The sequence below is a fragment of the Homo sapiens genome, chromosome 20 (genome assembly GCF_000001405.40).
Source record: "Homo sapiens chromosome 20, GRCh38.p14 Primary Assembly".
Lineage (NCBI taxonomy): Eukaryota > Metazoa > Chordata > Mammalia > Primates > Hominidae > Homo > Homo sapiens.
Genome location: NC_000020.11, coordinates 35,830,739 through 35,853,210, shown reverse-complemented (window position 1 = coordinate 35,853,210; position 22,472 = coordinate 35,830,739). Strand labels below are relative to the sequence as shown.

Sequence of the window (22,472 nt, the reverse complement as noted above, 5' to 3'; positions counted from 1 at the left end):
TTGCTCTGTTGCCCAGGCTGGAGTGCAGTGGCTCGACCTTGGCTCACTGCAACCTCCGCCTCCTGGATTCAAGTGATTCTCCTGCCTCAGCCTCCCGAGTAGCTGAGATTACAGGTGCGCGCCACCAAGCCCAGCTACTTTTTGTATTTTTAGTAGAGACGGGTTTCACCATGTTGGACAGGCTGGTCTTGAACTCCTGACCTCAGGTGATCCACCTGCCTCGACCTCCAAAAGTGCTGGGATTACAGGCGTCAGCCACCACGCCTGGACTGGCCCTTTTTAGAAAAAAAAAAAAAGGAAAAAAAGATTAGTCAGGTCGGGCACGGTGGCTCACGCCTGTAATTCCAATACTTTGGGAGACCGACGCGGGTGGATCATGAGGTCAGGAGTTCAAGACCAGCCTAACCAACACGGTGAAACCCCGTCTCTACTAAAAATGCAAATATTAGCCAGGCGTGGTGGCACACACCTGTAATCCCAGCTACTCGGGAGGCTGACACAGGAGAATCACTTGAACCCAGGAGGCGGAGGTTGCAGTGAGCTGAGATCGAGCCACTGCACTCCAGCATGGGCAACAGAGGGAGACTCCGTCTCAAAAAAAAAAAAAAGTTTTCTTGAAGTCCTTAGGCTTCCACAGATTGAGGGGTGGGGATGTGCATATGTTTGTGGGCATGCCTTCCCCTCCCTCTAAGTATTTTCTTCTTAGCAATTTTACATTTTGGGTTTAGGTTCTGTGGCCAATACAACACTCATCTATTCCCACTCCCTCTTTGACTTCTAACTGCTCAAAAGAGTCCAGAGCAAAGGCAGTGAACCGCCCATAATCACTGAGCAGGAGCTGGGACCAGACCCTGTCTCCCAACCATGGTTCTCAAGACAACACCGGCTCCAGAAAGTGCAGACCACTACATCCACTCTCGCATTCTATCAGTGAACACCTGGACCTAATTGACAACACCTGCCCTCTTAGGAAAACCCTGCTCCAAAGAGGCAGCCTGGTACTGTGGGAACGACAGTTTAGGGACTCTGTAGAACCACAGACCTCCATGCAGATCTCAGCTCTACCATCCAAGCGCTTTATAACCTCAAGCAGTTTCCCCCTGTGAGCTTAGTTCCTCATCTGCAAAATAAGAATGGGGTTAATGGCAATAACCTTTCCATGTTTGTGTAAAGACTAAATACGATAAGATATGGAAACAACCTAGCACAGGGCCTGTCACAGACCAAGGGATCAATACCACCAAGTCACCCTAAAAGGGAAGCACAGCACATTGACATCTTTTTTTTTTTTTTGGAGACGGAGTCTCGCTCTGTCACCCAGGCTAGAGTGCAGTATGGTGCAATCTCAGCTCACTGCAACTTCTGCCTCCTGAGTTCAAGCGATTCTTCTGTCTCAGCCTCCCGAGTAGCTGGGACTACAGGCACATGCTACCACGCCAGGTTAATTTTTCTATTTTTAGTAGATACTAGGTTTCACCATGCTGGCCAGGCTGGTCTTGAACTCCTGACCTCAGGTAATCCGCTGCCCCGGCCCCTCAAAGTGCTGGGATTACAGGCATAAGCCACTGCGCCTGGCCAGACATTGACATCGTTAAAGGCTATCTAGGCAAAAAAAAAGGGGCGGGGTGGGGGTTGGGGGGGAAGCACAATCCCTCTTCCCCCAATAGAAGAAAACAGCCAAGCTAGCACCTGCACGTGTGGGCCTAAATCTTCCTTTTCTCTTTCTACAAAGCTGTTCACACAGTATCAGCCTCCCCACATTTCAAATGTAGAATCAGTTACAGCATGAAGAAAACAAAAAATAAGAGCTGCTTCAGCCAGAGACTCTAGAAACAAGATCATTTCCATAGCATCTCCTGTTATAAATGCAGACTTCAGTCACTGCCCCAGAGACTGAACTGGCAGGGTAGGTAGGGGACATGACCCAAAAATATGCATATTTTTTAGGAAGAAGGAGCTGATTTACCTGCTCATTCAAGTTAAAGAACCACAGATCAACAGAAAGGACCAATTCCCCATTTTGTCATAAATGCTAACCTACACAGTAGTTTCCTTAAAGAAAATCACTTACAGAGCAGAGTTGTACACTACTGGGGGCAAAAAGCCCTGACAGACAACTGACTCTGCTAATCCTTGTGTGAAAAAAAGGGGAGATTCGGGAGGCTGAGGCGGGTGGATCATTTGAGGTCAGGAGTTCCAGACCAGCCTGGCCAATACAGTGAAACTCTGTCTCTCCTACAAATGCAAAAATTAAAGCAGCAGCTTCATTGCTGCAGTTCTATCTTCACCTTCACGATGTTTCCCTTGGTCAAAAACAAACTCAGTCATCTCCAAGTTCGAAGCATTCAGCAAACAATGGCAAGGCAGAGCCACCAGAAACATACACCTGATTTTCATAACAAATATGGTAATACTGTATTAGCTAGTGGACCCACTTTCTGTATTGCTATGTGGACATATATAACAACACAAATTGGAATAGAATGGAACCCATCCCCTGTTGGCAGAGTCACCCCCCAAAATGGAGAGAACAGTAATCATACCAGCTGATGTAATAATGAATTGTTTAAAAAACAGCTCATAGAGACTCCGTCTCAAAAAAAAAAAAAAAAAAAAAAAAAAAAACAGCTCATAATTGATGCCAAGTTAAAGCACTGTGTACCCATTAAGATATGGCATTAATGAAGAAATAAAGTACATTTGAAACCTTAAAAATATATATATATATATAAATTAGCCAGGTGTGGTGTGGCATGTGCCTGTAGTCCCAGCTGCTCAGGAGGCTGAGGCAGGAGAATTGCTTGAACCCAGGAGGTGGAGGTTGCAGTGAGCAGAGATTGTGCCACTGCACTCCAGCCTGGACAACAGAGCAAGATTCTGTCACCAAAAAAAAAAAAAAAAAAAAAAAAAAAAACGGAGGGGGAAGCTAAGCAGCCCCAGCAAAGAGGTGAGGTCAGCTCACCAGAGATGGCTTCCAAACAAAGATTCCCTGAAAGTAGAAACCCATCTTTTACTGTCTTTTGTAACAACACAGACTGAGGGTCTAACAAGGCTACCAACTGCCGCTGCCTTCGTACTAAATAATGCTTAATCTCCACTGCTGAAGAACCACTCCAGGTGAAAAAAGCTAAATAATATGGCATTATATGCCCTATTTTCCGAGTGCTAACAGACTTCCTTAAGAAACTAAAGTTGTTATTTAGTTCTGATTCAATCATGCCAGACTCCTCAGTGCCAGCAGCTGCCACTTCCACACTCTGGCTACAGTCCCCACCCACCAGCCTGCTCAACACTCAGCTTTAGCAAAACATCCAAGGAGATTAAGAGTGGCAAGAAAATCAGACCAAGCCTTCTAAAGATAAATCTACAAGGCATGACTTCACTATATCCCCTGCCTCCTCCTGGCAGCACCAACAAGACATAAGTGACATTTACAGGAAATAAAGGGGCCGCCTTGCCGGCAGAGCTTCTCCTCGCAGGGCCATTAAGCTGGTGGCCACTGCTACGAATGAACCTGAGGCACAGCAGAAAATACCAAGGAAAGAGTGAAAAGAGAGACTAGCATTGTCGCTCCCAATCCCACAAGTAATCCCACAGTGAATCGTGATGAAGCACAAACTGACCATCAGCTCTAATCCAAACCTAATCATTTTTGAAATCATTATTTCAAAGAGTTTCTGATCCATCCCACACACAAACACAAAACCTTATAGAGACAGGTGCCTACCATGATTAACCTGCACCATCCTGCCCTGCCTCCTCCTGGTAGCTCTATTTCAGCACCTACTTCATTCTACTTTGAAGCAGGTCTTCTTTTGTTTTACTTCATGATGCCAAGCTCTGGGCTCTGCAGGTATTAGATCTAAACAGTAGATTACTAAGCCTTCATTGCCTCCACCAAGACACCTTCCCACCCCTCTTAGAGGCATTAATTATCTTCATCTCTGAATCAGACATAGATCTGAGCTCCTACAAAGGCTAGCTTTCCTTCACAATCTGGGTGGCCAATAGTACTACCCAGCCTGCCCCACTAACTTTCTGTTTCAGGATTGCCCCTCTCCCATATCCTCTCCTCCCTCTTCCAGTTAGTCCCAAAAACCAGTCAATGTGTCAGCATAATACAGGACTTCAGACCCAAGAACCTCAGGACAACAGGTTTTGGCAGAAATTTCCATTCATTTTCATGTCCTTCAATTAACTAAATTTCACTGGACAGAATATGGAGCTTCAGAAACAAGATATTAGCGTTGCAAATGACCATTTTAGGAACTATCATAGCCTCGAGACTCTCCCTCCTATAATTTTAGCTTATGGAGGAAGCACAACTGAAAAGACTTTTTTTTTTTTTTTTTAAGAGACAGAGTCTCGTTCTGCTGCCCAGGCTGGAGTACAATGACACTATCATAGCTTGCTGTAGCCTCAAACTCCTGGGCTCAAGGGATCTTCCCACCTCAGCCATGCGAGTAGCTAGGACTACAGGAACATGTCACCACACTCATCTAATTTTTTTTTCATAGTGAGATGAGGTCTCACTATGTTGCCCAGGCTGGTCTCAAATTCCTGGCCTCAAGTGATCCTCCCACGAGAGCCTCCCAAACTGCTGGGATTACAGGCAAGAACCATCGTGTTTGGCCTGAAAAATACTTTTCTAAAAAGTTGCGGCTGGGCATGGTGGCTCACGCTTATAATCCCAAAACTTTGGGAGGCCGAGGTGGGTGGATCACATGAGACCAGCCTGGCCAACATAGCGAAACCCCGTCTCTACTAAAAATACAAAATTTAGCTGACCGTGGTGCACGTTGGTAATCCCAGCTACTCGGGAGGCTGAGGCAGGAGAATCGCTTGAACTCAGGAGATGGAGGTTGCAGTGAGCTGAGCTGGCACCACTGCACTCCAGCCTGGGCAACAGAGCAAGACTCTGTCCCAAAAAAGAACAAGAAAAAAAAAATCATTCTCAGACAAAACTTGGTCAGCCTGAGGCCCAGCAGTTAGCAGAGTATTAATAAATATCTGAATAACTTCATCAAATGAAAAGTCAGGCTGGCCTAATAGTCAACCCTACAGTGGCATCAAGAGGCCTGACTTCCCTAAACACTCACTTCAGAGATCATGGAGACCACACACACCCTAGTGGAATGTGCTTACAATGGTATCACTGGGACCCAGACTCTATTCTCCAGGTGCCAGGATCCTGACCGTACATATTATCCTCATAACTCTTTGTCTGCCCTTTTACTAGCAAAATTGAGCCTCTATTAGTCAAGTTCCCCATCCTGTCTCTTCACATGTTCAACTCTGGCAAATGAAACCCAACTCAGTGCTCTAAATTCCGGCATCCCAGTTTCCACTAGCAACTCCAATGTTACAGACCACCCTCAGTCACCTTGCATCTAGAAAGCACATTTTTTAAAGTTTGTTAGTGTTCATTTAATTTCTAAGCTATTCACAAATATTCAGGACTATGTCATCAATTATATTAGGAACTCCTAGACAGCAAGTACCTGCATACTTCCAGGCAGAGTGACAGATGAACTGTGACTGTTTTAGAAAACAATGACTGAAATTCAGGGGGTAAAAAGTCAAACTATCTTTTTTGTCCAGTTTTCTTTACACTTATAATTTCTACCCAACTCCTGACATAGTGATTAACTTGAATAAAGCGGATACCTAGGCAGTAAATAAATACTGAAAATATACTATCAAGCTCTGATATTACAAACATCCCCCCCCACCACCTAAGTCATGAGTAAAAACAACTACAACTCAAATGCCTTACCATCCTTGTTAACAGCAGTGACTTTGGCCGGGTAAAAACGACAATCAGACCAGCAAGCAAGGACCTGCTCATTTATTTGAAATTCCTAAAAAACATAAAAAAAAAAAAAAGATCCTGTTACCAACCTAATTTCACAGGACATACAGGACATACCAGATCTCATAAAAGAAGCTGGGATTGATAAGAAAGTGTGAAGGGAAAGTAGCTGTTGAGATGGAGGAAGATATTTCTGTTGTTCAACACTAGGAGTTGCTATAATTTCGGTGTCATTTGTCCTCACCAAAAGTAAACGTTTTCAGTGCAGCAGTGTTGAAAATGGGGCCTATGAGAGGTGTTTGGGTCATGGTAGCAGATCCCTCATGAATAGATTAATGCTGTCTCACAGGAGTGACTTCTCGCTCTCCTGGGAATGGATTCATTCCCAAGAAAGCAAGTTGTTACAAAGCAAGTCTCCTTCTGTTTGGTCCCTCTCTTCACACTTGTCTCCCTTTTTGACCTTCCACCATGTATGACACAGCATGAAAGCTGATGCCAGAAGCCAGTACCATGCACTTGAACTTCCCAGCCTGCAGAATTGTGAGCTAAACAAACCTCTTTTCTTTATAAATTACCTAGTCTCAGGTATTCTATTATAGCAACACAGAAAAGACTAAGACAGGAGTCAAAACAAAAGGGCTGGGACACAAGACCTCAATAAGCCCAAGAGGTCTGGGCAGGCACAGAACAGCACTGATGATAATTCCACCCTAACCAGCATACATTCTGAAAATGAGTCTAAGAGGCCAGGACTACTAGAATACACATCCAGTATAGGAGTCAGAAGATATGAGGCTACTTCATACTCAGGGAAGCAGCATTTAATGCCATCTACACTTCTAAAGGGTCTTTTGCCAGGGAAAGCAACCATTCACCTTTAATATTTTATACTCTTTTCCCAGCACACAGTTTGCACTGATAAATTTTGTACAATGGGCCAGGTGCAGTGGCTCACACCTGTAATCCCAGCACTCTGGGAGGTCAAGGTGGGCAGATCACCTGAGATCAGCCTGGCCAACATGGTGAAACCCCGTCTCTACTAAAAATACAAAAATTAGCCTGTGTGGTGGCGGCCACCTGTAATCCCAGCTTCTCGATGGCTGAGGCAGGAGAATCACTTGAACCCAGGAGGTGGAGGTTGCAGTGAGCCGAGATTGCGCCATTGCACTCCAGGCTGGGTGATACAGTGAGACTCTGTCTCAAAAAAAAAAAAAAATTTGTAGAATGAACACTGAAAAGTCAAATGGAACAATACTGAATAATCCTTAATTGGGAAAAAGAAAAAAAAGGCCAGCAATAGTTCAAGTTCCCTAATAGGGTTAAAACAGAAAATAAGCCGGACACAGTGGCTCGTGCCTGTAATCCCAGCACTTTGGGAGGCTGGGGAAGGTGGATCACCTGAGGCCAGGAGTCTGGCCAACATGATGAACTCCCACCTCTACTAAAAATACAAACATTAGCCAGGTGTGGTTGGATGCGTCTGTAGTCCAAGCTACTCAGAAAGCTAAGACTCGAGAATCACTTGAACCCGAAAGACAGGTTGCAGTGAGTCAAGATCATGCCACTGCACTCCAGCCTCGGCCATACAGTAAGACTGCCTCAAAAAAAAAAAAAAAAAGAAAGAAAAATAGAAGGCAGGGCTGAGTCTGAGTCAGATCCAAAAGCAGCAGGACCATTATAGATGTCTCAATGCCTGTTTAAAAACCTTAAAACTAGCCAGGCACAAGGGCACACGCCTATAATCCCAGGACTTTGGGAGGTACGAAGGATCTTCCTTCTTTGGCAGAAAGATCCCTTAAGGCCAGGAGTTCAAGACCAGCCTGGGCAACATAATAAGACCTTGTCTCTACAAAAAAAATTTTTTAATTAGTCAGGCACAGTGGTACATGCCTATAGTCCCAGGTACTCAGGAGGCTGAGGAAGGAGGATTGCTTGAGCCCAAGAGGTCAAGGCTACATTAAGCCAAGACTGCACCACTGCACTTCAGACTGGGCGACAGAGCAAGAAAACGTCTCTTTAAAAAAAAACAAAAAAAGATGAGTTAATGGGTGCAGCACACCAACATGGCACACGTATACATATGTAACAAACCTGCACATTGTGCACATGTACCCTAGAACTTAAAGTATAATAAAAAAATTAATAAATAAAATTAAAAAAATAAAACAAACTGTTATTACAGGAACAGAAAAAAAAAACACCATAAATGAAGCTTCAAAAGATATGCTAATTGAAGTAAGTCAGACCCGAAATGTTACATACAGTATGATTTTATTTCAAATGAAAAACCAAACAAAAATAGGACTATAAACAGAAAATAGATAGATCAGTGGCAAGCCAGGGTCCAGAACTGGTCCAGGACTGGCTGGTGAAGACTGAATGAAAAGCAATTTGAGGGAGAGCTTCTTTTTGTCATAATGAAAATATTGTGTATCATATGGCAGTGGCTATCTGACAATATAAATTTGCAAAACTTATTAAACTATACAGTTTAAAATGGGTGATTTTTATATCACAAATTTAAATGCTTATTAAATTTAAGCTTATTACACAAAACTTATGAAATCATACACTTAAAATGGGTATAGCTAATTTAAATAAAGTTAGTTAAAAAACAAGAGTCTATAGTGCCTTCACCCTTGTTTTAATATGATAAAATTTCTAAAAATATTCTAAATTAGGGCTTAATCTGTAATCTTAAAATATCATTATTTTATGATTTCTTTGCTTCTTTTCTAAAGTTGATAACCCTCTTTGGACTCGATATCTTCTTCTTAGGATGAACTTTATATTTTATTGTTTCAGCCTGTGTGTGTGTGTGTGTGTGTGTGTGTGTGTGTGTGTGTGTGTGTGTGGTGATGGTGAAGAAAAATGGGAGATTCTCAGGGTGGGAATTTTATAATGACAGAGTGAGGAGCTTGACAAATCTTTGGCAAGAAAGCAAAAATAAAGCTGGACAACATTATCAAAAAAAAAAAAAACCAAAAAAAAAAAACCGGCTGGGCGCGGTGGCTCACACCTGTAATGCCAGGACTTTGAGAGGCCGAGGCAGGCGGATCACGAGGTCAGGAAATCGAGACCATCATGGCTAACACAGTGAAACCCCATCTGTACTAAAAATACAAAAAATTAGCCAGGTGTGGTGGCACGCACCTGTAGTCCCAGCTACTCAGGAGGATAAGGCAGGGGAATCGCTTGAACCCAGGAGATGGAGGTTGCAGTGAGGTGAGATCGAGCCACTGCACTCCAGCCTGAGCAACAGAGCAAGACCCCGTCTCAAAAACAAACCAAAAAAACGGCTCTTGAGCTACTTGCTTGAGCCCGCTCCCACTCTGTGGAGTGTACTTTCATTTCAATAAATCTGTGCTTTCACTGCTTAAAACAAAACAAAACAAAAAAACCTTAAAACTAATACTTCATACTGCATTTTGAAGTCAGTAAAAGCTCCAGGCATAGAGATAAAATTTAGAAAAATGGAATACAGTCCAATCAATTCCAAGTTCTTTAAGGGCTTATAAAAGACTCTGCAGGACGAGCTTACACCTATAATCCTAGCACTGTGGGAGACCAAGGCGGGAGGATCACTTGAGCCCGGAGTTCAAGACCAGCCTGGGCAACAATACGAGACACTGTCTCTATAAAAAAATTTAAAAATTAGCCGGGTGTGGTGGGCCCGTGGTCCCAGCTACTTGGGAAGTTGAAGTGGAAAGATCGCTTGAGCCTGGGAGATTGAGGCTGCAGTGAGCCATGATTGCACCACTGCATTCCCGTCTGGGCAACAGAGCAAGACCCTGTCTCAAAAGAAGAAGACCTTGCATATGAGACTTAGTACAACGTTCTACATGGAATGATCACTTTTTTTTTTTTTTTTTTTTTTGAGATGGAATATCACTCTGTCACCCGGGCTGGAGTGGAGTGGCATGATCATCTTGGCTCACTGCAACCTCCGCCTCCTGGGTTCAAGCGATTCTCCTGCCTCAGCCTCCCGAGTAGCTGGTATTACAGGCGCCCGCCACTATATCCAGCTAATTTTTTGTATTTTTAGTAGAGGTGGGGTTTCACCATGTTGGCCAGGCTGGTCTCAAACTCCCGATCTTGTGATTTGCCTGTCTCCGCCTCCCAAAGTGCTGGGATTACAGGTGTGAGCCACCACGCCTGGCCAGAATGATCACTTAACAAAAGACCAGACAGCTTAACAAAAGATCAGAAGATCTACAATGTGCCAGGCAGTGTTCTAGAAGTTAGGGATACAATGCCGTAAAATTGGTCAGGAGTTTGAGACCAGCCTGGCCAAGATGGCAAAACCCCATCTCTACTAAAAATACAAAAATTAGCCAGGGTGGGCACCTGTAATCCCAGCTACTAGGGAGGCTGAGGCACGAGAATCGCTTGAACCCGAGAGGTGGAGACTGCAGTGAGCAGAGACTGCACCACTGCACTCCAGCCTGGGCAACACAGCGAGACTCCGTCTCAAAAAACAAACAAACAAAATTGGGATTCTTCAAGAGCCCCAGGTGTCATAGAGATCTCAGGGTTACAACTATAGGCCTAAATAAGAACTGGTCTCCAGCTGCTACTAACATCAAAGATTGAAACACAAACAGCCCAATGGCTGACCTTGCATACTACAGAACTTCCCAGATTTGTTACTCACAGAAGATCCATCCTCTTCATGCAAGCCCTCTTTCCTCAGCTGTATTTTCTCTAAAGGGCGTAAATAAGGACTGTCCCAGCAGAACCACTCATCATAACGATGGTTCCAACGCTTGAAATGGATGAGTACTTTTCCTTCCTCGTAGTCAATGTCTTCTATGTGAGCTGGATACCTGAGTCAGAAAAAAAAAAATTGGCATTCCTTTAATACCCACCCCAAATATCCAAATATCCATAATGGTACATTTCCAAACCTCTTCCCAAAGGAGAAGGTTACCAGGCCTACCGTTTAGAGACTCTGTGTAGTTGGGTCAAATCACAAATTATGGAGGGTAACAGACTTGAGGTCCAAATCCTAACCTGCATATTCCTTAGTTTATGAACTATTTTATTTTATTTTATTTTTGAGACAGAGTCTCGCTCTGTCACCCAGGCTGGAGTGCAGTGGTGTGATCTTGGCTCACCGCAACCTCCTGGGTTCAAGCAATTCTCCCTGCCTCAGCCTCCCGAGTAGCGGGGATTACAGCGCCCGCCACCATGCCCAGCTAATTTTTGTATTTTTAGTAGAGATGGGGTTTCGCCATGTTGGCCAGGCTGGTCTCGAACTCCCGACCTTAGGTGATCTGCCCGCCTCAACCTCCCAGAGTGCTGAGATTACAAGGGTGAACCACTGTGCCCGGCCAGTTTATGAACCATTAAATTAAACTTTCAGAGCCTGAGTTCCCTCATGTAAAGTGGAAGAAGCACACTGGGTTGTAGTGTGGATTAAACAAGATGACATACACAGAAGACTTGAGCACACAAGAGGCAGGAAGAAAACATTAAGGATTTAACAACTAGATTAGATTTTACATGTGCCAATAAATCAGAATGACCATGCAACCCAGACTGTATCAGACAGTCTCAATTTTAAGCATTTATAAGCAATATAATGGAATACTGTGCAGTTTTTTTGGTTGTTGTTTGTTTGTTTTTTTGAGACAGGGTCTCGCTCTGTCGCTATGCTGGAGGGCAGTGGCGCGATCTCAGCTCTCTGCAACCTCCACCTCCCTGATTCAAGTGATTCTCCTGCCTCAGCTTCCTGAGTATCTGGGACTACAGGTACGTGCCACCACACCCAGCTAATTTTTGTATTTTTAGTAGAAACGGGATTTCACCATGTTGGCCAGGATGGTCTCGATCTCTTGACCTCATGATCCGCCCACCTCAGCCTCCCAAAGTGCTAGCATTACAGGCATGAGCCACCGTGCCCAGCCTTATACTACGCGGTTATTAAAAAGAACAAGATGATTTTATCTGTCAAGATATGGAAAGCTCTTCTAAGATATACAGTTATATGATTCAGAACACTGTATATGCTAAGCTATTGTTTCGTTTTATTTTGATTGATTGATTGATTGATTGAGACAGGGTCTCACTCTGTCACCCAGGCCGAAGTACAGTGGCGTGATCTCGGCTCACTGCAACCTCCCTCTCCCCAGCTCGTGTCCCTCCAGCCTCAGCCTCCCAAGTAGTTGAGACTACAGGCACACACCACCATACAGTGCTAATTTTTGTATTTTTTGTAGAGATGGAGTTCTGTTACGTTGCCCAGGCTGGTCTCAAACTCCTGGGCTCAAGCTATCTGCCCAGGATAGCAGATCCTGGCTCAGCCTCCCCAAATGCTGGAATTACAGGCATGAGCTACCACACCTGACTTACTTTTTAAAGAGGAGAAAAAAGGATATGTATTCACATATGCTTATATATGCATAAAGTATCTGGAAGGATGCCCAAGAAACAACAAAGGTTACTTGTGGAAAAGTGTGGTCAGTTCAGTAGATGGTTTCTTTCAACCTCCATTCAACCTTCTTTCTAGACTGAGAGTTAGGAAAATCAACAACTACATTTCCCTGACTTCCTTACAATTGGTGGCCAAGGTCATAAAGACCCTTGGGTTAGTGGCCAGGTCCAGTACAAGGCCTATCAAGCTTCCACACACATGTAAATCATCAAGGTATCCTGTTGAAATGAAGATTCTGATTCAGTATGCCAAGCTGGGGCCTAAGAGCTCTCACAAGCTCCCAGATGTTGCTGCTGCTGCTGCTGCTGCTGGTCTGCAATAAGCCAGAGCCTAATGTCTAATCATCAGTTTCATGCATGTCAAGCAGCAGTGGTGCAGATGGCAGTGCCAGTAGTGACTTCCTGACCAGATCACAGCTACGATTGTGGGCCTTTCAAGATGATACCCTAAGGGCAGCCTCCTTGAGTCCCACTCTTCCAGCCCTTCCAACAACTTTAAAAGTACCCAATTCCCCACGTTAAATCCTTTTGTGGTTAAAATACTCGGGCTGGTTTCTGTTTCCAGCATTTATTCCTGACACAAGAGAGGTATCTGGATAAGAGGTGGGAAGGGGCAAAAATAGGAGGGAGACTTTTTGCAGTATACCTTATAATACCTTTTTATTTCAACTATATAAAGGTATTGCTCATTCCAAAAAATAAACGGTTAAAAATAAAGAAAAATATTGTATGCAGTTTTTCTCTGAAAACACTTGTATTAATCAAATAGCTATTCTAGACTGAAAAAGTTTACATTCTATCTGTATTTTCTCCCTGCAACCTGGTTTGTACCACTTCCTTCCTTTCTTATATCCAGCACCTAGTACAGTGCTGTCCTAATAAACACATGCTACCTACCTAAATGAACAGGCCTGCTTTCTTGTGTCTGTATACTGTGTACTTTTCAACCCACACTAGCACCCTCTAAGGCAGTTTGCTTGGCATTAACTTATTGCAGTACTTTGCACATACTAGGTACTCAATAAATGTTTAGCAAATGAATTCCACTCCTCTTATTCTTCCCAAAGGTCATGTATTCTGTCAGTTTTTAAATTCCAACATTCTCAGACTCCAGCAACCTATTCCAATTTCACTCCTCAAGTTCAGGCCCCCATCACTTCATGTGTGTATTCCTCACAGAGGACTGGAAGGGTATGTTTTCCATAATTCCTAATTGCTACTATGCATACCTTACTTGCTCAAAAATATTAACAAAAGACATAAACAGCCCTGAAACTAGTCTTCCTACTCCAATCCAAATGACAGCTGCTATAAATACAAGATATCTTGACAACAGACTGGCTAATTGTCTGATCTGACAAATGAAATAGTACAATTGTAGGAGACAAGAGAGGATTCCCTAAATCCACTCCTCTCTGTAAAATGGGGAGAAGGACATCAATATGGCAATTATATATCTCTTACCCTCTCATTCATTCAGCCTACCTGAGGCTAGTAAACCTCTCTAAAATAACACAATCTGTCTTAACACATTCCTATTCAAACCACTTTCTTTTTTTTTTTTTTTTTTTTTGAGATGGAATCTCGTTCTGTCACCCAGGATGGAGTGCAGTGGCACGATCTTAGCTCACTGCAAGCTCCGCCTCCTGGGTTCATGCCATTCTCCTGCCTCAGCCTCCCAAGTAGCTGGGACTACAGGCGCCCGCCACCACGCCCGGCTAATTTTTTTGTATTTTTAGTAGACACGAGGTTTCACCATGTTAGCCAGGATGGTCTCGATCTCCTGATCTCGTGATCCGCCCCCCTCGGCCTCCCAAAGTGCTGGTACTACAGGTGTGAGCCACTGCTCCTGGCTTCAAACCACTTTCTTTAATGGTTTACTATCTCTAGCAACAGCTTTCTCACACAGGGTCCTTGGACTAAGGCAGGAAATTTTCTTTACACGGAAATCACTTTTTTTTTTTTTTTTTGAGACAGGGTCTCGCTCTGTTTCCCAGGCTGGAGTGCAGTGGCACCACCATGGCACACTACAGCTTTGAACTCCTGACCTCAAGTGATCCTCCCACGTCAGCCACCAGAGTAGCTGGGACTACAGGCTCATACCACCATGCCCAGCTAATTTATTGGGTTTTTTTTTTTGTAGAGGTGGAGTCTCACTATGTTGCCCAGGCTGGTCTTGAACACCTGGGCTCAAGTATCCTCCTGCGTCAGCCTCCCAAAGTGCTGAGATTACAGGCATGAACCACCACGTCCCGCTTGAAATCGCATTCTTTCTAACTTTTAGTATTTAAATATACCTTCTAAGTTAAAACGATAACAACTGTTTTTAATACCCTTCCTAATATCACACAGCCTTCAAAAAGAATAAGGCAGCTCTATGTATTGATTTTACTTTATTTTTTTAATGTATTGATTTTAAAAGATTTCTAAGAAATGTGGGAGGTAAACTCAAAGATGTCAAACAGTATTTGAATGCACTACCATTTATGTGGGGGAAGGGAGAGAGCCAGTACAGTCATACCTGTTTTTAAATGCGTGGGCTACCTCGGGAAGGAGGATCAAGTAACCCGGTTTGCCTCCCGGAAGGGGAACTGGATAGTTTTAAGCAACTGGAGAGGAAGCATGAGACTCATTTTATTTGCTGTATATCCTTTTGGACATTTTGAATGCTGTACCATGAGCACATATTAACTATTAAAAGTACATAATTACATACTTATTTTAAATGTCCTTATTTGGCAAAATTAAAAGTTGGCAACCTCAGGGAAAACCTTAAATTCTTTTGGATATGCACTGGTCGGAAGTCAGGATTCATAGAATCAAGTGTGAACTCCTAGGCCAGCAACTCCACTCACTCTGAAGGGTCTTTACGTCCTCAGCTAATGTAAAGCTTCTCCCTCATTCAAAAAAAACTTTATTGGGCACACATATCCAACTCTCTGCAGACCTAAACAAACCCCTCCAAGAGGCTCAATAGTAGCCAAGGCGCAAAATTTTCCAAAGATTAAGTGGTCCTCCCCACTTCCCTAAAGTGTGACAAAGATGCAAGTCACTTACGGCGGTGGGGACCCAATTACATTTCAGAGAAGAGGGAGGCTGCAAAAACCATCTTAGAGATCAACCTGGTAAGATTTAGTGGATCACAACTCTGCCTGCCTTGGCGACAGCTTAGCTTCATCAGTCAACAGGAATTTATTAAGTGCTTTTGATCTGACCAGCCAATTCTAAGTCTTGGAAGGGATTATACAAACATGTGTTCTGGCCCCTGCCCTTGAGGAGAACTAGACACATAAATGGATTAGGCTTTAAAACTATTAGGTTGAACCACATTTAATTGCTGATAATCAACTGCTTTTTACCTACCAAAATAGCAATTTTATCTGGTTCAACCTAAATATATGGACAACCATAAAGCAGGCTGAAGATGATGAGACAGAGTTAACAAAAGAGATGTGAATGGAATTTGTACAGGCAGAAAAGGAAGAGAGAATTTCTAGCTTCCCTGTGTAACTAAGAGCCACTGATGAGACTCTAGTTTCCAAACTAACATTGCAGCTGGGAGTTACATTTCCAACCAGCGGGAATACTGGCCAGAAAGGGGCAGATAATCAAACTAATAACAAAAATTAGCTCTTAGGAGGAGATAGGGATTAGGAATAACCAAGAGATTTTTGCTTTAGTGTGAATTTTTTTAAAAATTTAGTTAAATATTACTTGTATAAGTAAAAAATAAGTACTTTTTGGGGTTTTGTGTTTTTTTTGTTTTTGTTTTTGTTTCTTGTTTTGTTTTTGAGACAGGGTCTTACTGTGTCACCCAGGATGGGGTACAGTGGTGCAATCTCCACTCACTGCAGCCTCAACCTACCAGGCTCAGGTGATCCACCTCAGCCTCCTGAGTAGCTGGGACTACAGGCTCACGCCACCATGCTCGGCTAAGATACTTTTTTGGTATTTTTTGTAGAAACGGGGTTTTGCCATGTTGCTCAGGCTGGTCTCAAATTCCTGGGCTCAAGCGATCGCTGGCCTTGGCCTCTGAAAGTGCTAGGATTACAGGTGTGAGCCACTGCACCCAGCCAAAAAATAAATACTTTTAAATTAAAAGTTTTTTTTTTTTTTTTTGAGACGGAGTCTCCCTGTCACCCAGGCTGGAGTGCAGTGGTGTGATCTCGGCTCACTGCAGGCTCTGCCCCGCCGGGGGTTCACGCCATTCTCCCGCCTCAGCCTCCCGAGTAGCTGGGACTACAGGCACCTGCCACCTTGCCCGGCTAATTTTTTGTATTTTTAGTAGAAATGGGGTTTCACCGTGTTAGCCAGGATGGTCTCGATCTCCTGACCTCGTGATCCGCCCGCCTCGGCCTCCCAAAGTGCTGCGATTACAGGCGTGAGCCACTGCGCCCGGCAAATTAAAAGTTTAAAAAACTTTTTTAAAGATATCAACCGATAGCTTCATGAATATTATGTTTATGTGCTGCTATGGCACACCCACAAAATGGCATATTATGTAGCCACAAGAAAGAATGAAGACACACTCTATGAACTGATACAGAAAGACTTCCATGACACATTAAGTTTTTAAAAAACAAGCTACAGAATAGTGCATATCTTATGATACCTTTTGTGTTATAGAAGAGGAAAATAAGAATATTGGCTGGGCATAGTGGCTCATGTCTATAATCCCAGCACTTTGGGAGGCCAAGATGAGAGTATCACTTTGAAGCCAGGAGTTTGAGACCAGCCTGAACAAGACAGCAAGACCCCATCTCTAAAAAAAAAAAGTTAAAAAAAAAATTTGCTATGAGTAGTGGTGTGTGCCTGTTGTCCCAGCTACTCAGAAGACTGAGGCAGGAAGATCACTTGAGCCAAAGAGTTCAAAGCTGCAGTGAACTATAATTGTGCCACTGCACTCTACTCTGGGGACAGAGTGAGACCCCCATCTAAAAAACAGGTAATAATAAATTTTTAGAATTTTCAGCCTTTGTCAAGAAGATTATAAAAGTTTTCTCTTTTATTTTATCTTATTTTATTTGTTTTTTTGAGATGAAGTCTCATGCTGTTGCCCAGGCTGGAGTGCAGTGGTGTGATCTTGGCTCACTGCAACCTCTGCCTCCCGGGTTCAAGTGATTCTCCCACCTCAGCCTCCCCAGTAGCTGGGACTACAGGTACACGCCACCACGCCTGGCTAATTTTTTGTATTTTTAGTAGAGACGGGTTTCATCATGTTGGCCAGGCTGGTCTCAAACTCCTGACCTCAAGTGATCTACCCACCTCAGCTTCTCAAAGTGCTGGGATTATAGGCGTGAGCCACTGTGCCCGGACTCTTTTATTCTGTAAATATAATGAACTGATAGATTTCTTAAATTTAAGTTATCATTACTCTGCTAGAATAAATCATATTTGGTTTCATGCATCATTCATTTAATAAGTCTCTACTTGGTGTTCCAGGATTTTATTGACAAGAATTGTACCTCTTATAAATGAGATCTGTCCAAGTGTTCTTGTATTATGCCCTTCCTGCCCAGTTTCAGTATTAGGCTATGATAATCTCATACAACAAACTAAAATGCTTTATTTCATTTTCTATGAAACCACCTACTCTGAGGGCCTTCTCAGAAGGTAGTTCTTTATCTACCTTTCCCATCACTTCTATGGTTACTAGTCTGATCAAGTTTCCTACCTCTTCTTTTTTTTTGAGATGGCATCTCGCTCTGTCGCCCAGACTGGAGTGCAGTGGCGTGTTCTCAGCTCACTGCAACCTCTGACTCCCAGGTTTAAGCGATTCTCCTGCCTCAGCCTCCTGAGTAGCTAGGACTACAGGCGCCCGCCACCACACCCAGCTAATTTTTATATTTTTAATAGAGACGGGGTTTCAGCATGTTGGCCAGGATGGTCTCAATCTCTTGACCTCGTGATCCGCCCGCCTCAGCCTCCCAAAGTGCTGGGATTACAGGCATGAGCCACCACACCCGGCCTCCTACCTCTTCTTGAGTCAATTTTTCCTAAACTGATAAGAGAGTTTGAAATGATAATCAGGTACAACTTAAATGTTCAAAAATCAATAGTTTTCCTCAGAAGAAAGAGTTCAAGAGTCAACAAAAATGTTTCAAACTCAAGTCACAAACAAGATTTTTAAATGGCTAATATAAACACAAGGCTGCTAAGCACTTTACAGGGCAGGAACTATGCCCTATGAACTTCATTATTCAACAAACATTCCTGAGTTTGTATTATGAGACAAACAAACTGCTAGGTCCTGGAGACACAGAATAGATGACCAATCATCAGAGCCCCTAGGGTGGCAAGAGCCCAAAGAGAAGTTTGGTGAGCTCCATGAGATTTCCCACTCCTCTCCACAAGCAAAAAGATCAGGAACACTCTGGATCTCAGGAAGAAAGGAGAGAAAAAGAAGCATAGCTGGCTGGGCGCAGTGGCTCACACCTGTAATCCCAGCACTTTGGGAGGCTGAGGCGGGCGGATCACCCACGGTTGGGAGTTCGAGACCAGTCTGACCAACATGGAGAAACCCCGTCTCTACTAAAAATACAAAATTAGCTGGGTGTGCTGGCGCATGCCTATAATCCCAGCTACTCGAGAGGCTGAGGCAGGAGAATTGCTTTATCTGGGAGGTGGAGGTTGTGGTGAGCCGAGATCGCACCACTGCACTCCAGACTGGGAAACAAGAGCGAAACTCCGTCTCAAAAAAAAAAAAAAAAAAAAAACCATAGCTGTAGAATGAACCAGCCTGCCTATATCCCATAACCAGGACTAGACAGAAGAGAGGCATTATCTCTCCTCCATGTCCAGCCCAGGCTGGACAGTCTGGGTTTCTGCTGCTCTTCCCTGCCCCCTTCTAAAGCACTTGAATAAACCCTCCCGCCTTTTTATTTATTTATTTATTTATTTATTTTTGAGACGGAATCTCACTCTGTCGCCCAGGCTGGAGTACAGTGGCATGATCTCGGCTCACTGCAACCTCTGTCTCCCGGGTTCAAGCAATTCCCCTGCCTCAGCCTCCAGAGTAGCTGGGATTACAGGTGTGCGCCACCATGCCTGGCCAATTTTTGTATTTTTAGTAGAGACGGGGTTTCACCATGTTGGCCAGGCTGGTCTTGAACTCCTGACTTCGTGATCTGCCCGCCTCAGCCTCCCAAAGTGCTGGGATTACAGGCATGAACCGCTGTGCCTGGTCTATTTTTTATTTTTTTTAACCCTTCATTCTAAAGCCCACATTAAACTTTTTCATCAGAGTCCCATTTTTTCTAACTAGAGGGTTGGGAAAGGGTTCAGAGAAGACTTAGCCTTTGGATCAAACCTTCAGAGATCAAGAGTCTGAATCTCCCCCAGGGTATCCTGCATATATTAGACATTCAATAAAGGTTCACCAGATGTAATTTTTAAAAAGATCTGGAGCCACAAAACAGCAATAGAAATATATAAACAAACCAAGATGAATCATCAAAATAAACCAGTGATATTCATGTTGTAGATGTCAAGAGGACAAACATACCCCAGTATGGGAACTCTTAATTTGGAGGGGATATATGCACATGGTGGTCACCATGACAAAATTAGTCACAAAACTGTTTTCCAAAGGCCAAAAAGCATCAAAAACTCTCATCTAAAATTCAACCTGGAAAGGACAGATAAGCAAAAATTCATAATAAATAAGGTTACCGTAATAAGCTTAATTTAAGCAAGTCAGATAACTGGTCACTAAGCCAACCAAGAAGCCACAGAAGACCAGTATAGCCAATGTCAAATGGAAAAGGACAAGGAGAATGAACAGAAATCAGCAGAAGAAAAATTCATTGAACCATAATTCCACAAACATTTTCTGAGTACCTGCTCTGGGCCAGGAAGTATATTAGGGTTTAGAAATACAGAATCAAATCTACTTTTTTTTTTTTTTTTTTTTTGAGATGGAGTCTCACTCTGTCACCCAGGCTGGAGTACAGTGGTGTGATCTCAGCTCACTACAGCCTCCACCTCCCAGGTTCAAGTGTTTCTCCTGCCTCAACCTCCCAAGTAGCTGGGACTACAGGTGCCCACCACCACGCCCAGCTAACATTTTTTGTATTTTTAGTAGAGACAGGGTTTCACTATGTTGGCCAGGCTGGTCTCGAACTCCTGACCTCGTGATCCACCTGCCTTGGCCTCCCAAAGTGCTGGGAATACAGGCGTGAGCCACCACATCTGGCCAGAACCAAATCTATTAAGATGCATGATCACAGCAACTGGCAGAGGATGACAGGCCCTACGTTACAACACACAGTAGACTTTCAATTCCTCAAACACACCACACACCTTCCCATACCGAGTATGCTCCCGTTACCTGAAACAACAATCCCTGCCCACTCTTCCCAGGCAACATCCTTATCCTCCCATAGCCTCAGAATCTCTGACTACACTATCTCAAGTAGCCCCCATTTCTTTCCAGTCTGTGTCAGTTTCCTATATGTTTCCTTCATAGCATTTACCCTAATCTGTCATTATTTCATTTGTTTGTGTTTATGGCCTGCTTCCCCAGGAGACAACAGGCACTGCTAGAGGCATCTGTCTCTTACTTACTACAGTATAGTCTGGGGGAATAAAAGTATCTAAGTATGTCTATAGGTACAAATAATTGTAATAAAGTATACCAGGTGCAACAACAGAGGACTCCTTAAGGTAGAGTAAGATACAGAGGTGCAAAAGGGGAGAGGGAGAGGAAGGGGATCGAGTGAGAGGAGGGCCCAAGACAACCCTGGGGAAGAGGAGACACTTGATCTCCATTCTGAAAGATGAGTAGGCATTTTCCAGCTGATCAAAGAGGCAGTGAAGCTGGGGAGAGTTTCTGAGAGAAGATGTAATAGGAGTAAATCAGCATAGTACAGAGGAAAGCAGGCAAAAAAGAGGACAAGGAAATTCAAGGGGATAGAGGAAACAACAACTCCGTTTGAGGGGCCAGGAGGATCTTATGGATGGGCTGCTGAGCCCTAAATGAATGTTTGCCAAGAGCAGTCCACGGACCACTGCGTGTTGGTGAACACAGAGCTGCTGGTCCACAAGGTCTCCATGAGGGATGAAGAATATTATATTGTGCTTTTCTGTAATCTGGACCCTCTTTACCAGAGCTTCCCAGCTGAGGTACCACAAATGGGTTACAAGTGGGCAATGACATGAAGAACGTTGAGATACCAGATGACCACCATATAATCAAGAACTACTAGAAAATTTTAGTGTGTAAGGCTGGGCGCAGTGGCCCATACCTGTAATCCCAGTGCTTTCAGAGGCCAAGGCAGGAGGCCAGGAGTTCAAGACCAGCCTGGGCAGCATAGGAAGACTCCGTCTCTACAAAAAGTTTTAAAAATTAGCCAGGCCTGTAGTCCTAGCTACTTAAGAGGTTGGAGTTGGGGGATCACTTGAGCCCAAGAGTTTGAGGCTGCAGTGAGCTATGATCACAACACCACTGCACTCCAGCCTGGGCAAGAAAGTGAGACCCTATTTCTAAAAAAATTTAATCAGCCCAGCACAATGGCTCATGCCTATAATCCCAGCACTTTGGGTGGCTGAAGGAGGATCCCCTGAGCCCAGGAGTTTGAGATCAGTATGGGAAACATAGGGAGACCCCATCTGTCTGTACAAAAAAAAATTTTTTTAATTAGCCAGATGTGGTGATGCATGCCTGTAGTCCCAGTTACTCAAGAGGCTGAGGTGAGAGGATCACTGGAGCCCAGAAGGTTGAGGCTGTGTTGAGTCATGATCGCACTACTGAACTCCACCCTGGGTGATAGAGTGAGACCCAAAATAAATAAATGAGAAGGAAAGGAGGGAGGGAGGGAGGAAGAGAGGGAGGGAGGGAAGGAAGAAAGAAATAACTTTAGTGTGTATATTTGTAACTAACCTGGCATTATAAAATCACTCCCACATAGTAGCTGGGACAACTTTATATGTCTGCAGATTTGGCACTTATTCCTTCAAAAGGTAGATTTTAATCGTTTTATCCTTGAATATGGCCTCATTTCTAACAAGTAGAATGTGGCAAAAGTGATGGTGTGGGACTTCCAAAGCTGGGTTATAAAAAGCACTGCAGCAGGACAGGGGAGAGAGAATATCAGGAAGAAGAGCTAATGGATGCTGGGCTTAATAGCTAGGTGATGGGATGATCTGTGCAGCAAACTACCATGGTACAAGTTTACCTATGCAACAAACCTGCAAATCTTGCACATGTACCCCAGAACTTAAAAAA

The 22,472-nt window shown here is 43.7% G+C and overlaps 1 protein-coding gene and 1 pseudogene across 7 annotated transcripts in view, besides 1 other annotated feature; one reads left to right on the top strand and one right to left on the bottom strand.

Annotated features, from left to right (window-relative positions):
* PHF20 (PHD finger protein 20) overlaps window positions 1-22,472 on the bottom strand; it is a 178,356-nt gene that overhangs the window by 97,160 nt on the left and 58,724 nt on the right. For 5 of the 7 annotated variants that reach the window (XM_047440180.1, NM_016436.5, XM_047440181.1 and 2 more), the window contains 2 exons: window positions 10,467-10,638; window positions 5,777-5,861 (listed from right to left, as the gene is read on the bottom strand). In XM_047440180.1, coding sequence (XP_047296136.1) covers window positions 5,777-5,861; window positions 10,467-10,638 — 257 coding nt within the window. Of the gene's footprint in view, window positions 1-5,776; window positions 5,862-10,466; window positions 10,639-22,472 lie in introns of those variants that run through there. The other 2 variants (XM_047440183.1, XM_017027868.3) reach the window with 2 other exon arrangements.
* On the top strand, window positions 2,253-2,710 carry COX7BP2 (COX7B pseudogene 2; annotated as a pseudogene).
* Window positions 15,337-15,537: a silencer, noted in NCBI's record as "peak4203 fragment used in MPRA reporter construct". NCBI's record gives its function as "represses an SCP1 promoter by STARR-seq MPRAs in K562 erythroleukemia cells {active_cell/tissue: K562}" and the evidence as "EXISTENCE:reporter gene assay evidence [ECO:0000049][PMID:32103011]".